Source organism: Homo sapiens, chromosome 2 (genome assembly GCF_000001405.40).
Source record: "Homo sapiens chromosome 2, GRCh38.p14 Primary Assembly".
NCBI classification, from domain to species: Eukaryota; Metazoa; Chordata; class Mammalia; order Primates; family Hominidae; genus Homo; species Homo sapiens.
Window position 1 is genome coordinate 167,932,399 of NC_000002.12, and position 16,523 is coordinate 167,948,921.

The following is a 16,523-nucleotide window of genomic DNA, read 5'->3' on the forward strand; positions in this document are numbered from 1 at the left end:
TCCCTTCCAGTCCACTGCCCCCATGGCTGCCAGATTGACCTTCCTGAAGAACTGCTCTGATGACTTCACTTTTCTGCCAGAAAACTTCCACTGGCCCCCAACTGGTTCATGTACCTACTGGGGCCAGCAGGTATCACAAATGAAGGAAGTGGCTACACTAAGTGAAACAGGCACCCTTGGGATCTGAAAGCCAGGAAACGTGTAACTTCTATAAGGAAATGTGCTTCTTCCCATTTATCTTGAAAACGAAGACCTTCTGGATCTACAATTGGTTTCCTGCCTTTAGTCAAGGCTTGGTACAAGAAGTAACTCACTTTCCTCTTTACTATGTAACAACCAAACGATTGTATTAATTAGCATGTTGGTTTGATCGCTGAAACAGAAATCAAAGTACAATGGCTTTCATAAGGTAGTAGAAGGTTTATTTACAATTTATATGAAGACCTATGCTGGTAGCTCGTCCTAGGGGTAGGGAGTGGGGCGGTTAGAGGGTTCTGCTCCATGCAACCAACTGGGGACCCTGGTCTTTTCTATCTTGTCCTCAGTAGTGGTTCTCAAAGTGTGATCCAGGGAGTACTCAGGGGTTTCTGAGACCCTTTCAAAGGCCTGTAAGGTCAAAATTATTGTTATAAGAATACTGAGACATTTTGGTCCTTTTCATTTTTATTCTCCCATGAGTATGCAGTAGAGAATTCCAAAGGTTCTTAAAAATAATGGGAAAACTTGAATTAGTAAGTTTTATTTCAGTATATGTGTATGTATCTCATTCATTTATTTAACCACCATCTATTAAGTACTTCTAGAAGTGCTGTTTACATTCATTCAACAGATATTGATGGCACATAATATTGGCAAAATCTAGCATGAGCTGCTTGAGGATACAGGGAAGAACAAGAGACATGGCCCCTGCCCTCAGGAAGCTAACAATCTAGTGAAAAAGCCAGATACCAAACTGCTAGGAACACAATCAATTATCTCATTATAATCATGATTATGTTCAGAAGAGGGATAGAGCTATAAGAGCAAAACACTGGGACCGGAAGAGATACTAAGATGATTGGGAGGTCTGATATTGGATGTGCCACTGCAGGAAGCTGCACAACACTGACATTAACGCTGTGAGATTCTTTTAAAACCCTCATTCTGGGACATGATTGATGGCAGCCAGTCCTATTCAGTTGCTGAGACAGAAGACCTGGGCAGACGGAGTAAGGAGCTTTCAGTGTCTCTACACCTGGCATGTTATCTTATATAGCTAGGGTGGAACATGCATCCCAGTTTGCTTGGGACATGTTTTTGCTCCCTGTCTCAGTGAGTATTACTAAAATTTAGCCTCGTAACTGTTTTGACTTAATAAGTTATATGGTTATCCTACTTATTGCTTTTACCAGATTGTTAACTAGAAAGTGATTTGAGCCAAATTATTATCGTTACATCTGTAGTGTGATGGGTCCCCCACCAAGTTACTTAAGGATGTATGTCCACTGCCTGAATTCTGAAGGCTGGGCAGTGAGCCAAGTCCAGGGTGCCCAACCGAGGAGCAGGTGTCTCTAAGAACCCAAACATCCCAGTGAGTATCTGAGAACCGATCAAGAAAAACAGTCTCATCACTCAAACACAGTAGGCAAAGAGCCAGGAAATTAATTTAAAAGCAGTTTGGAGTCGGGAGGTGGCGCAGATCTCCAGCGCTGTCCTGCCGCTATCCAGGAGTGCCATGTACATAAGTCCTGATAGACTCATCTACTCATCAAGCTGGACTTGTCTGAATCATTCTTTGGTCTCTTAGCTCCTTCCCAGTTTGCAGGGGGATGTTACAGTTCCAAGTTTTTCTTGTAGCATTGCTTTGAAACAAGGAAACTGCTGTTCAGTTTCAGAAGGTATTATGAGTTGAGTTGTGTCTCCCCACCAAAAAATATGTGGGAGTCCTAACTGTCAGTACCTCAGAATGTGAACTGAAACAGGGTTTTTATAGAGGTAATCAATGTAAAGATGAGGTCATTAGCTGGGCCTAATACAATAAGACGGATGTTTTTATAAAAAGGGTAAATTTGGGCCGGGTGCGGTGGTTCATGCCTGTAATCCCAGCACTTTGGGAGGCCGAGGTAGGCAGATCACTTGAGGTCAGGAGTTTGAGACCAGCTTGGCCAGCATAGTGAAACCCTGTCTCTACTAAAAATACAAAAATTAGCTGGGCGTGGTGGTGGGTGCCTGTAATCCCAGCTACTTGGGAGCCTGAGGCAGGACAATCACTTGAATTTGGGAGGCAAATGTTGCAGTAAGCCAAGATCTCACCACTGTACTTCAGCCGAGGCAACAGAGCAAGACTTCGTTTCCAAAAAAAAAAAAAAGGGGGGGGGGGTAGATTTGGACGTGGACACATAAACAAGGAGAAACCACATGAAAATATAGGCAAATATTGGGATGATGTATCTATAAGCCAAGGAATGCCAAAGATTGCCAGCAAACCACAAGAAACCAGGACAGAGGCGTGGAACAAATTCTCCCTCAGTCCTTGGAAGGAATCAACTCTGCCAACACCTTGATCTTGGACTTTTAGCTTCCAGAACTGTAAGGAAATTAATTTATGTTGTATAAGCCACCCAGTTTGTGGTACTTTATGGCAGCCCTAGAAAACTAATACAGAAGGTAAAGTGGCTTAAGAAAATTGCCCACTCAACTAATGAAAATGACTATGTGGCAGAAATGCATTGGTGGAGGCCAGGCTCGATGGCCCACACCTGTAATCCTGGCACTTTGGGAGGCTGAGGCAGTCAGATCATTTGAGGTCAGGAATTTGAGACCAGCCTGGTCAACATGGTGAAACCCCGTCTCTACAAAACATACAAAAAATTAACTGTACATGGTGGAGGGTGCCTATAATCCCACCTACTTGGGAGGCTGAGGCACAAGAATCACTGAAACCTGGGAGGTGGAGGCTGCAGTGAGCCGTGATTGTGCCACGGCACTCCAGCCTCAGAGACAGAGTGAGTGAGATGAAAGAAGGAAAGAAAGAGAGAGAGAGAGAGAGAGGAAAGAGAGACAGAGAAAGAGAGGAAGAAAGAAAGAAGGAAAGGAAAGTAAGAAAGAAGGAAAGAAAGAAAGAAAAGAAAGAAAGAAAGAAAAAAAGAGAAAGAAAGAAAGAAAGAAAAAGAAAGAAAGAAAAAGAAAGAAAGAAAGAAAGAAAGAAAGAAAGAAGAAAGAAAGAAAGGAAAGAAAGAAAGAAAGAAAGAAAGAAAGAAAGAAAGAAAGAAAGAAAGAAAGAAAGAAAGAAAAGAAAATGAATGCATTGGTATCCCTGCTGTCATGGTTGATTTTCTCTGCCAACTTGACTGGGTCGTGGGGTGCCCAGACATTTGGGTGCCCAGATATTTGGTCAAGTGTTATTCTGGATATGTCTGTGAGGTCGTTTCTGGGTGAGACTAACACTTGAATCAGTAGATTGAGTGAAGCAGATGCCCTCCCTAATGTGGATGGGCCTCATCCAATCAACTGGAACAGAACACAAAGGGAGTAAGGGAGAATTCACTCTCTCTGCTTGACTGCTTTCCAGCTGGGACATCGGTCTTCCTCTACCTTTGGACTCAAATGGAAACATCGGCTTTTCCTGGGTCTTGAGTTTATTGGCCTTTGGGCATAAATATACCAGCAGCTCTGCTGACTCCCAGGCCTTCGGACTCAAACTGGAAATACACCATTGCTCTCCTGATCTCCAGCCTGTTGATGCAGAAATTGGGACTTATCAGCTTCGGTAATTGCATGAGCCAATTTTATAATGAATCTCTTTATATGTTTATCTCTCTCTGTCTCTCCTACCCCCACCCCATTAGTTCTGTTTTTCTGGACAACCCTGACTAATATAACTTCCATGTTTAAAAAACAAAAACAAAAAAAGGCTGGGTGCTGTGACTCACGTCTGTAATCCCAGCACTTCGGGAGGCTGAGGCGGGTAGATCACGAGGTCAGGAGTTCGAGACCAGCCTGGTCAACATAGTGAGACCCCCCATCTCTACTAGAAATACAAAAAATTAGCCGAGTGTGGTGGCAGGTGCCTGTAATCCCAGCTACTCAGGAGGCGGAGGCAGGAGAATCGCTTGAACCCAGGAGGCAGAGGTTGCAGTGAGCCGAGATCGTGCCATCGCACTCCAGCCCAGGTGACAGTGTGAGACTCGGTCTCAAAAAGAATTAAGGCCAATAGGCTTTGTTGTCAAAAAAAGCAGCTGAGGATCATTCCACTACCAGCCATGCATATTTACACTTATGTGCATTGTTTTGCTTTTTCTCTAGCTTGCAGACTACGTATAAGTGCAGGTATTAGAAGTCTCTTTAAGAATCCATTTATCTGTGCTCAATTCCCTGTCAGGAATATAATGGCTGACATGCTAATATATTAACTGCTGTCTCACTATAAACATGTTATGCTAAACAAGTATAACAGAACTTCCAAAGGGGGATGGGAAAAACAAAAACAAACAAACAAAAAACCTCTCTCCACATCAAAATGTGCCTGGTAAAATCTTTCTTTTGCTACTTTAGAACTGTCAGTCTGCATTCATAATACCCCTTAACAAAGTATTTTTTAGGGGATTGAGCCTTGGAAAATCACAAGCCACTATAAAATGTTTACCATGTAGTCAGCTACAAAAAGCAGGTAAAGTGTCCAATGTCGTGGGCCCATTCCATGACCTGTCAATATTTGGGGCTCTGGAAGATTCACAGCTAACATGATGCATAATTGCTTGTACCCCTAAAGCTTTTACTGGTACCTTAGATGATTTCACATTTCTAGAAGTCAGCGAGTCACTGAAATAGTATCAGAGGGATAACTGTAGATAAGGCTGACACCCTGGTGAAGGCAAAGAGGAGGCAGAATGGCACCGTAAGGGAGCGTGAGCCTGCGAGTAGTTATTCAAGTTTAAGCCTTAGCTCTACCAGTAACAAGCTATGTGTGATGCAGGCAAGAAGCTTCCTTCTCTCTGGGCCCAGCTTTCTTCATATGTGGACAGACATGACTGGGGCACAGGATTTCTTAAATTTGTGACTTCTGTCGGAATGTTCTAACTCTAAGTGAAGCTGTCAGGTATTATGATGCCCTTTATTTTCAAGACCCAAGAAATGAAAAAAAAAAATTAAGAGCTTAGTCAGCCTGGCTCACACTTGTAGTCCCAGATACTTGTTAGGCTGAGGAGGGAGTATAGTTTGAGGACAGGAGTTTGAGACCAGCCTGGGCAATAGAGCAAGACCCCAGCTCAAGAAAACCTTTTTTTAAAAGACCTTGGTTTGACTCAATAATTGTACTTTTCCATCCCTTCTTTAATTCACAAATATTTGTTGGGTGTCTATTTGTTTGGTTTAGTCTCTATTCAGGTTAGGAAAACTTGATTACTATGTGAACAACCCACATTGTCTCCAAAGTTCGCTCCAACTGTGTTGGTAATTGAGATTGTGGATAGGAAATCATCTGTCTAGCTTCAGCTACATTTAAGTGGGACTCCAGAAAGACTACTTGAAGATAAACAGGTTTATGGTGCAGCGTGTACATTTTGCAATTATTTCTTTTTCTCTTGTTTCAGCTAAAACTGAATATCATGATGTTTCATGCTCCTTTTAGTTAAAGGGAGAGTTTCACTAGCTCATATTCTCTATTTCCTAAGGCTTTATATATTGGTTTCATTGTAAATATCAATAATTTCTGGTACTCCATTTGGGTGCTATAATACAAATAATTCTTGCTTACATAGTTTGTAATATAAGCAACTAAAAAAGCAAGTATCGACCAAGACATACTTGAAAATATTGTTGCAAGCTAGCAATATAATATAAGCAACTAAATATAATATATTTAGCAATATATAAGTAACTAATATAAGCAACTAAAAAAGCAAATATAATATAATATAATATTTGTAATATAAGCAACTAAAAAAGCAAATATCGACCCAGACATACTTGAAAATATTGTTGCAAGCTAGAATTGCAAGAATAATGTAGAAGTTAAAGAAGTTATTCATTTAGGATTGCAGCAGAGACAATGAGCTTAATGTCATCACTACAGAACAGTATTTCACTAGCATCTGCTTACTTTGGCCATTTGATGGAGTTTAGAATTGTACTTTTTATTTGTTGACTTTTCAGAAAAATTAGCATAGCTGCAAAATATAGGCTTCACTTTGGAGTTGTAGACTTTTGTGTCTTTAATTTTGTGGCAACATTTTTACAAAAACTATCGTAGACTGGTTTTTATGACTTTTGTTAGTAGTAAAAAAAGCATTCTCTGGCAGCTATACAGCGTAAATAGTAGCAAAAGAGGCATATGGAGGAAAGAAATTCTTTAAGAAATCATCAGATGGATCTAGGGCATTTAATGGGTCAAGAAAAAATTAAGAGAACACTTTTACTCTGTTTTTTTTTCTTGCTTGTGTGTTTATTGACTTTCTAATTCAACTCTCCTCCTGTGATACCCAATGGCATAAGTACTTATAAAGTTTACCATAAAAGCTGAACATATACTTAATTTTTAAGCCCTTGGCTCTTCTCCAGACACCCTTCCAAATCACAGAGCTCTAAGGCTGTTATGTCTCGCCCCTGTTCAATCAAAGAGAAGCATTTTTCTCAGCCATTTCCCCAATTTTTACCCAAATTATTCATTCACATCCCCAAAGGCATTTGGCAACAGAGAAATGTGATGTTCCCTCACATTAACCCATTTTAAAAACACTTAAGGAGACAACGTGAAGTCGCCTAATCCCCATATCAGTGCTGCCGACTAATGACAACTCTCTGGGTTCTTGCTTTAGAAGAGAAAACATTTGGTTCATTTTGTGAAGGAAACAAACCAAGACCTTACCTTCTCTGCATTGCCTTTTATTCTTTGAAGCTTGCAGGGACCAACAGCGAGGGTGCTTTGTTAAAAGAGAGGAGAAAGATGGCTCTAGGATTGAGCAAAAGAATTTCATTTCTCACTGGGGAAACCAGACACACCTTCCTGACTATGGACAATCTACCCTGGGCTAAATGTAAACATGTTTATTTCAAAAGAAATTAAACTTTAAAAAGCTCTTTATACTCTTCCTATATTCGTGGCATATATACCCCAAAACCTGACACCCAGCTCAAATGAGGGAGATTTCTGGTGTAAAATAATGTCTTGAAACCCTCTGTCCGCAGACAGAGTCAAGAGACCTCAGTATCCCGCCTTGGTTTTTGTGTGGAGACAATGTAACAGAGGGAAGGAGGACCTGGGTGTTATCATAGCCACTGGTTTGGGCTCTTGCTCTACCACCTCCTCACTTTGGGAGGTGGTAGAGCATATGGGTAACTCATATGGGAAGTTACCCAATGGGAGGTAACTCATATGGGAAGTTACCCAATAAGCTAATGAGGGCTATTGTGAGGATTAAGTGCAATCTTGCTTGTACAGTGCCTGGCAAGGAGTGAGCATTCAGTAAATGGTAGCTATTGTTATTTATTGTGAAAGACTTTACATCCAGAAGGGTTTTTAGGGGAATTTTCAGCATTTCTGTAAAGATTTCCCTCCATTTGGCTCAGAGGGACGTGATGCCCTCAGAGTCCTGTGTTTTCTCATTCTATCATCTCTCTCTCGTTTGCTCAAAAATCTCATATCATACCACAAATAGCCATTTGGTTTCCAGGAAAGATGGAAAGGAAATGATTTCATTAAGCTTCTCTAGCTCTATAGAGTGTGAATAACTATAACGATCACAAAATTTTAAGCCTGAGCTCTTTAATACACCACTGCTTATGCCAACCCCACAGCCTCTCACCATCATCCCAAAGCTGTTTGGTTCAGGTCTGTGATTGTATTTGAGGACACTACACAATGATGTGTTGACTCTGAAAACAGCTTGACCATCAACAATCTAACAATCATAAAATAGCCATAAAATGGTGTTTGTGTGGGCTGTAATATTGGTATTATTCATGGTGGCCAAATAAATTGTGGAAGTGCCACAGTGTTGGGCAGTGACATCTGGATAGCTAATCAGCTGGACCAGCCTGTAGAGAGCTGCATGAGAAACTGAATCATTCTTTTTAGATGAAGCAAATCGAATAAGCATTTCAGTCTCCTGGCAAGAGACACATGGAGCAATCCAGGAAATCAAATGCTCATCCCCATTGCCATTTACTCCTTTAAATAAGTTCCTGCTGGGCACATTTTGGGACATAGACTTACATATACTTGGCCAACAGATGTTATTGATTTAAGGGAGGCGGTCATTGATCTAAACAAGCTTTTCTTGGAGGGATTTTTAAAAGATCATCTCAGCAACTAAAGATTAAAATGTAAACACGGTTTTACCATTCCCATCTCTCCAGGCTGAATCCTATTCTGCTGCCTTAGGCTTTCCCACTCTGGCTTCCACCCAGGATTTCCATGGTGCCTGAAGTGGTCTGTGTTCCAAAATATCCTACATCCCTCAGACATTCTCATTCTCGTCAGGAAGCTGGTCTCTACTAGAGAGTGGAAGGCAGTGATTACCTTAAATGGATTCACAATAATGTGTTAGTAACTGACAGTCTTTAGCACCAGTACCATAGTATTTGTATTTTAAAAGAAACATCCATTAAGTCAAATAAACCCATAATTGATTAAATTTGAGGCTACACGAAAAGGAGTGTATTAGTCCGTCTTTACAGTGCTGATAAAGACATACCCGAGACTGGGAAGCAAAAGAGGTTTAATTAGACTTACAGTTCCACATGGCTGGGGAGGCCTCAGAAGGTGAAGGGCACTTCTTACCTGGCGGCAGCAAGAGAAAATGAGGAGGACGCAAAAGCGGAACCTCCTGATAAACCCATCAGATCTCATGAGACTTGTTCACTATCACGAGAATAGCATGGGAAAGACCGGCCCCCCATGATTCAATTACCTCCCCCTGGGCCCCTCCCACAACATACAGGAATTCTGGGAGCTACAATTCAAGTTGAGATTTGGGTGGCGATACAGCCAAACTGTCGCTGTTGTTTCACAGCTTTCCCTGTGTTTTTACTTAAGAAATTATTCATTTATTCATCAGTAAGTATTTACTCAGAGCCTGTAATATCCTTGTTACTGTTCTGGGAGCTTGCATACCTCAGTTGACAAAACAAAGGTCTCTAACCCTGGGGAGCAGCATGAAACAATATATATCAGACATAATCTAAGTAAATTTTATAGACTTTTAAAGACAGTGGTAAGCGCTTTGGCAAAAGAAAAAGAAGCAGAGTAAGGAGATCGAGAGTACTGGGTAGGTGGGTTGAAGGTTAGAATTTTAAATATAGAATTCAGGGAGGCCACATTGAAGAAGTAATATGTGTGCAGCGTCTTGAAGAAGGAGAGGTAATTAGCTAAGGAGATCTGGAAGAAGCCTGTCTCTGAAGAAACCATGAAAGCAGTGCTTGGTGTGTTAGAGAAACAGCAAGGAGGCCAGCACAGCTGGCGTGCAGAAGCACAGAGGAGGAGCGAGGCCATGGTGGTGACCGAGAGCCAGGGCACTTCAGGATCCTCAGCTCTCCACCCCACTTCCAGCACAGCGAAGGGGTCTTCGGCAGAAAACAAGGAGCGAAAGGGGACACAGGATTCGACTTACATGCAAGAGCTTTTTAGAGGCTACAGATGGATTGTGTTTTCTCAAAGTCAGCACAAGGTACGATGCTCCATATTCAAATAAGAAAAGGAAGTTGAAAAATTGTTGAAAAACCTACACTGCCATTGTCATGTGTTCTGAGCTAGGTGGACAACATATTTGAAGAAAACGTTATTTTGGAGAGGGCTTGGCTCTCCTTCAACCTGGATGGACCCGGGGCAAAGGGTTCCTTGGAGGCTGAATGAATACAGAATCTCAGCCTCAAACGTCTTCAGCACAGGAATGTAGAGAAAGTTCCCTGGCTCAGTCATTGTGGAAAAAATAATCATTTCTTTGCAGCTAAGGACTTCAAGGTGATTTGCTAAAACTTTAAGTTTATGCATCCAATATCTGCTTGTATACTCAGGTGTTTTTTCCAGAGCAGGTGTCTCTGGGATAACATTCTGGGGATTATCATACATTTAACATATTCTCTCTATGATTAAAAGCTTCAGAAACACGACCTCTGGCTCCACTCAGAAAGCTGTCTGATCTCATATTTGCATGATCTTTCTCCTTTAACAGAAAGGGAATTTCTTTCTGTGCAGAGCGTAAGAAATACAAGGCTGAGGGTTAGAAGCATGAGTTCCCAGGAAGACTGCCAGGAGATTAGATCGGATGATCTCTGAAATCCTGTGATCTTTTCAAAATTATGTTTAATGACTCTAAATTTGAGGGAATTAGTATAAATCAGCCATGACAATAATTAATTAATTCAACATTTATTACATAACTGTAAGCTAAGTGGTATGTGTATGGTTGTGGATAAAATAAACATGAGGTTCTTGTGTTTTCACAAGTGCCAACCTCAAATGGTCAAGGCTGTCTGGATTGCTGTAATGAAAAATACTCAGTCTCAATGAGGATTAGAACTGTGATTGATTAGCCATGTCTGCCATGAGCAAATGCAGTCTCCTTGAACAAATGGAGCATAGACAATGGTAACACTCTTCTTAAAAGGCAACACTGAGCTGCTTTCTGAAACTCAGAGGACCCTACCTGTATTACCTGTATTAGTCAGGGTTCTCTTAGAGGGACAGAACTAATAGGAATATATATATTATTAAGTATTAACTTACACATTCACAAGTTCCCACAATAGGCTGTCTGCAAGCTGAGGAGCAAGGAGAGCCAGTCTGAGTTCCCAAACTGAAGAACTTGGAATCCTATGTTTGAGAGCAGGAAGCATCCAGCATGGGAGAAAGATGTAGGCTGGGAGGCTAGGCCTGTCTCCCTCTTTCATGTTTTTCTGCCTGTTTTATAGTCGCTGGCAGCTGATTAGATTGATCCACCAGATTAAGGGTGGATCTGCCTTCCCTAGCCCACTGACTCAAATGTTAGTCTCTTTTGACAACACCCTCACAGACACACCCAGGATCATTACTTTGTATCCTTCAATCCAATCCAGTTGACACTCAGCATTAACCATCACACTACCCAATAGAGTCCAGCATTATATCATTGTTTAACAGTAAATCTCCCAGCCTGGGCAATATGGTGAAACCCCTGCTCTACAAAAAAAAAAAAAAAAAAAAATTAGCTGGGCATGGTGGCTTGCACCTGTAGTCCCAGATACTCTTGAGGCTGAGGTGGGAGGATTGCTTGAGCCCTGGAGTTTGAGGCTGCAATGAGCTGTAACTGTGCCACTGCACTCCAGCCTGGGAAACAGAGCGAGCCCCTGTCTCAAAAAAAATAAACAAATAAAAATAAGTCTCTCTTTCTGATAGAAGGCAAAGAGCTACATAAAACAAGACAGGAAGGATTTGGACTCAGAGGTAATCCCCTTATGGTAGTGAGCATTATCCAGGTAATACTTAAAGTAGTTTAACCTTCTTCTTCTATACCATTCTGGTACCAAAAAGTTCAAGGAAAAATTGACTGATCCCTAAGATAGGTCTAGTCAAGGACAAATCAACTCTTTTTCTCTTTAACCCACAGTAAAGTATCATTCCATGTTTCACAGCTCCTGGCTGATCTTTTCAGCAATTTGCTGCTTAAAGTCTACTTATCTGTCAATCACTCTTAACTTCATTTTGCACAGCTGACTGGTGCTATCACAGCATTCCTTTTATTAATGCATTTAATAGTTGTGGCTTTGAAAGGCTGCCAGCACAGAGGAACAGCTGCAAATATTACTACCCAGCCAGACTGTCCTTTTCTTGAGCTGCCTCCAACTACCATTTGCAATTTTTATAGTCTGGATTCTCTGCTGGTCTGACTGTAATCATTGGTTTTCAACAATATATTTCTCTCGGTAGATTCTTTGTTTCTTACCAGTTGTATTATTGGATTTTCCAACAAATGTTAAATAAAGGTCCATACCACATTGTTTACCATTTCAAGCTTCATATGAAATAATTCCTATAAGAAGCTTACACTATATTGGTGGATTGAAAGGCAATCAAATAGCATAATAAATAAGGGAAAATGGAGATTTAACTGGGAGACGATTTGGCGTGGTGGGAAGACACATGTAAGTTCAAATTCCAGGACTGCCATTTACTGGCTGTGTGACGATGGATAAGTTACTTAAATTCTGTGAGTCTCATTTCCTTTAGCTGTAAATTGGACACAGGAATACCTACTTTGCATAATTTAATAACAACAAAATGCATATGAAAAGCAACTGGAATATGGTAGGCACTCTGTGGTTACTATTTTTAGTAATGATAACTATCTTTTAATAGTTTTAATTAATCATTAACAATTCACAAAGGAAAATGCTAGAAATACTAGGAATATGCAGTTTCCAAGATTTGGGTTTTGACTTCAATCCTAGGAATCAACAAGAACAATATGGCTGCTTTTATCCACATGTTCAGGGTAAGTGGTGTAAACTAAAAATAAAATTCTAAGTCCCCCAACTGACCGAACCAACCATCTCTTGGCCAAGGGGATCCCAGAGTAACCTTAAAAACTGAATTCTTCGCCATAATGGTGTCAGAGGTGTTCAAACCAGAGCGACTCTATCTTGAATAGGAGCTGAATAAAATAAGGTTGAGATCACTGGGCTGCATTCCCAGGAGGTCAGACATTGTTAGTCACAGGATGGGAGAGGAGGTGGGTAAGGCCTGGTATCACAAGATAAAGGTCACAAGAACCCTGCTGACAAAACGTGATGCAGTAAAGAAGCAGGCCAAAAACCACCAAACCCAAGATGGTGACAAAAGTGACCTCTGCTCATCCTCCCTGCTCATTATATCTAATTACAATAAATTAGCATGCTAAAAAGACACACCTACCAGAGCCATGACAATTTACAAATGCCGTGGCAATGCCAAGAAGTTACCCTATATGGTCTACAAGTGGAAGGAACCCTCAATTCCAGGAATCGCCTGCCCCCGTCCTGGAAAACTCATAAATAATCTACCCTTTGTTTACCATATAATCAAGAAATAACTATGAGTATACTCAGTTGAGCAGCCCATACCACTGCTCTGCCTATGGAGTAGTCATTCTTTTATTCCTTTACTTTCTTAATAAACTTGCTTTCACTTTACTTTATGGACTTGCCCCAAATTCTTTCTTGCATGAAGTACAAGAGCCCTCTCTTGGGATCTAGACTGGACTCTTTCCAGAAGCAACAGAATCGGGGGAGTAAGACACATCTTGTTGAACCCCATCCCTTGCTAACTAAGCTGATTAGCTTCGTTAATAGCTAAGAAAGCTATTGGGCTTTCTTCCCTAAGGGCTAAACAGAAACCAGACCTTTTCAAAAGACTCCTCCTCTGATACGACCCAACCACCTGACCCTGCCTCTCCTTTTTCGCCAGATGAGAGACTACCAACCACTGAGTTGGCCAGTCCACAGAGAATGTGCAGAAAGGGTTTCCACGTCTTCGGCTTCACTTTTTGACGTCAGAGGGGTGAAAACTTCACCCTCAGATCATGTTGAGGCTGCCATTTCTTGAATATGGGTCAAATGAAGGGGCACGAAGCTCAATTGCACATGCACCTATTTCTCCTCTTATAAATATTCATAACTCCTCCTATAGCTTATTGAATATGTATATTTGGCCACCCTGTTGATTATAAATTCTTGTTCTCTTTGCCCCTCCCTTAAAGTGTCTGTTCCTGGCATCTGGCCAGAGGCTATGCTGCCTAGCCTGTGAGAAGGTCACCCTGCAGGCTGCAACCGTTTATGAGAAATAGAGCTCTCCTTTCCAAATTCATGAACCTTATCTTTCTCCAGTTGAGAGTGGGTAGGACTATTTGTCAGACTCTTTCCTCCTCACTTCTCGCTTCCTCAGTTATGCCCACTGTCTGTTCTGGCCATTCATGCCCCGATTCACAGCCACACCCAAAAGAAGGGGAAAGCTCCAAGCAAGAGGGATGGTGCCACCAATAATATCCACAAAAGCAGCCCAGATCCTGAGAGAAGGCCTTAGGGCTATGCTCACCTGGAGCCTAGAGCTGTCTGCAGATTTCTGCAGGATGAAGATGAGGCTGTCTCTTTCTCTCCCCCTCCTCCTGCCCACCAGCTTTCTTTAAGAGGCTCCAGGGGAAAAAGCAGAAAGCAATAAAGCCGCATTGTAGAGCAATGACCCTCCACCTCTTTGTAACTTCCAGTAGATTGTCCCTGACTCTCCCTGTACAATTCTTTGCTATAACAAAAGACCCTAATTAGCTGATTGGAATTTCTAAAGCCCTATTCACCAACAGCTCAACTGTTACAGCTGAATGGATGGACCAGTTCAGTCAAGCAGCAACCGGTTTACTCCTTCCTCTGCTCAATTAGGCCTCTAGAATGTTCATCTTGGAAAGGAAGTTAATAATCAACTAATTAATCCCTCTCAATCTAAAAATGAGTACACCGAGGCTTAATGAAGTAAAATGGAACTTGAGTGAGGTCACACAGTCAGCAGCAAAGCTGCAGCAGAAGACCTTCGGGTTTTACATGTTACTACCACAGAATGTAATTGGTTTATTTTTATTTAAAAAATTTTAGTTGTATTTTTTAAGTCTATTTAAGATAAAGAATCACACTGAAATGGTCCCTTTTCATACAACTATTTCTTGTTCTTTGATCTTGGGAAAATTACTTACCTTTCTAGATTTGGAAGGCATATCACAAAAGGGACTGAAGAACATAAAAGCTAGTTATAATACAAATAACAAAATAAAAAGCAAGTGCAATGAAAAGCCTATGGCACGGTGGTGGAGTGACCAGCAATAATCTTCAAGGCCTCTTCCAAGACTCTACCTAATTTTCTGCAAATAATTTTGTACCCAAAACGTTGAGTCTCTTACTCCAAAATGTATAAACTTTAGGCTCCACAAAACCTGGATTTGCCCTTTGAAAGGCAGCACGGTATAGTGGAAATTCTCTCGAGTCAGACTGAATTAGGTTCAAATCCCCTCTGCCGTTTACTAGCTGGCTGACCTTGGAGAAGTTACTTACAATCTCTGTACGTCTATTTCCTCATCTATAAAATGCAGATAGTGAAACCAGTTTCCTAAAGTTGTTGGAAAGGCTTAAGAAAGGTAATGTAGGAAAAGCTTTTGGCTTAATGTCTGGCCCACAGCAAACCTGAAGTAAAGTGTGTCTTGTCTTATATTAGGAGGTTGTCTGATATAATGATTAAGAGCATGGGCTTTGGAACCCCATAAACCTACATTCAAATTCCTGCTTCATATTGTAGTACTAATTTTGTTATCTTGGGCAGCTTAGTCTTTCCAAGACTTAGTTTTCTCCACTTTAAAATGGGAGTAATAACACTTAACTGACAGAGTTAAGATTAAATGAGATAGTATAATGTGCTTAGCAGAGTGACTGCTTTGGGCTGCAAGTAATAGCCAGAAAACATTCAAAATGGCTGAAAGCAGTGGCTTTCAAACTTTTTGGTACAACACACAGTAAGACATAGATCTTAATACTGTTCCTTAGTGCACGTATCCACATTATCACAGAACTACTGTGGGACTCAAACTCAATAATGTATAGGACCAAGCTTCATACAATGCTCTAGAATGGGAAAATAGTGTGGTGGACCTGAATTCAGCCTTTCCCAATAAGCATGAACAGCACTGGCATCTCAGTAGGCCATGTGGTTGTGCTTTTCCTCAATTCTCCATTTCATTTTGATTCACTGAGTTCCTTTTTTCCCACAGAGTGTGGAAGAGAAAAAGAAGACTTAAGTATATAAAAAACTACCTGAATGTACTCAATCTGATTCTGATCACATGTTGATTTTGAACTTAGTATTACCTAACACATCTACATCCTGCTGCTGAAATAGTTCAATACCAAATTGTTCATTTGGGTCAAGGTTGGACCACAGTATTATCTCTTCCACTTTTTGAAGAAAGGCACTATCCTACTTCTCCGATTATGGACCCATTAGTTTACTGAAGATTCTTTTTAAACAATAAGCCTGTTTCTTCTGTGATAAATTTCCTGTGTGATGTAAGCTTTTGTTTCTCAAGCCAGTACTTTACATGAGGGATAAATGCACAGTAGAAATGATTATTCTATTACTGACCTTTCATCATTCTGTACCAAATTCAATCAACAATAGCACAGGGTAGTAACTTTTAATAACATTGCTTGCCCTTTGATGAATTATGAGTTAAAGTATATGGGTTCGATAAACCTCTTCAGCTAATGATGCTTGTTTTGTAGGCTACAATTCATGTAGGGGGAAGTTTTGTGTACATTGCTTCAGTATAAGATCCTTGTTCACCTGAAGATGCTCCATTAAGACATCCATTGGTTTGTTAAAAAATGCACAGTTGTTGATAACCTGATTGTGTCCATTTTATTTCCATTGCTCTTAGAGCTTCAACTAGCCTGGGTAGATTTGGTGGGCGAGGTGCAAGATGGTAGATAAAGGGACATCACTGTTACTTGACCATGCATTTTCTCTGCAGCAAAATAGCATCAGGGCAATCACTGGGGCA

General features: G+C 40.9%; 2 long non-coding RNA genes across 2 annotated transcripts in view, besides 1 other annotated feature; both read right to left on the reverse strand.

Annotated features, from left to right (window-relative positions):
• The window catches only part of B3GALT1-AS1 (B3GALT1 antisense RNA 1), a 126,371-nt gene extending 117,625 nt beyond the window's left edge, over window positions 1-8,746 (reverse strand). Inside the window, exon 1 of the long non-coding RNA NR_131227.1 lies at window positions 8,711-8,746. This is a non-coding gene — a long non-coding RNA (B3GALT1 antisense RNA 1). The remainder of the gene's footprint in view (window positions 1-8,710) is intronic.
• LOC124907903 (uncharacterized) lies at window positions 646-7,221 on the reverse strand. The gene is made up of 2 exons (XR_007087281.1): window positions 6,845-7,221; window positions 646-3,714 (listed from the first exon to the last, which is right to left on the reverse strand). It is a non-coding gene; the product is annotated as an uncharacterized LOC124907903 (long non-coding RNA).
• Window positions 12,443-13,642: an enhancer, noted in NCBI's record as "CDK7 strongly-dependent group 2 enhancer chr2:168801351-168802550 (GRCh37/hg19 assembly coordinates)". NCBI's record gives its function as "activates an origin of replication core promoter dependent on BRD2, BRD4, P300/CBP, MED14 and CDK7 cofactors, with strong dependence on CDK7, by STARR-seq in HCT116 cells {active_cell/tissue: HCT116}" and the evidence as "EXISTENCE:reporter gene assay evidence [ECO:0000049][PMID:35650434]".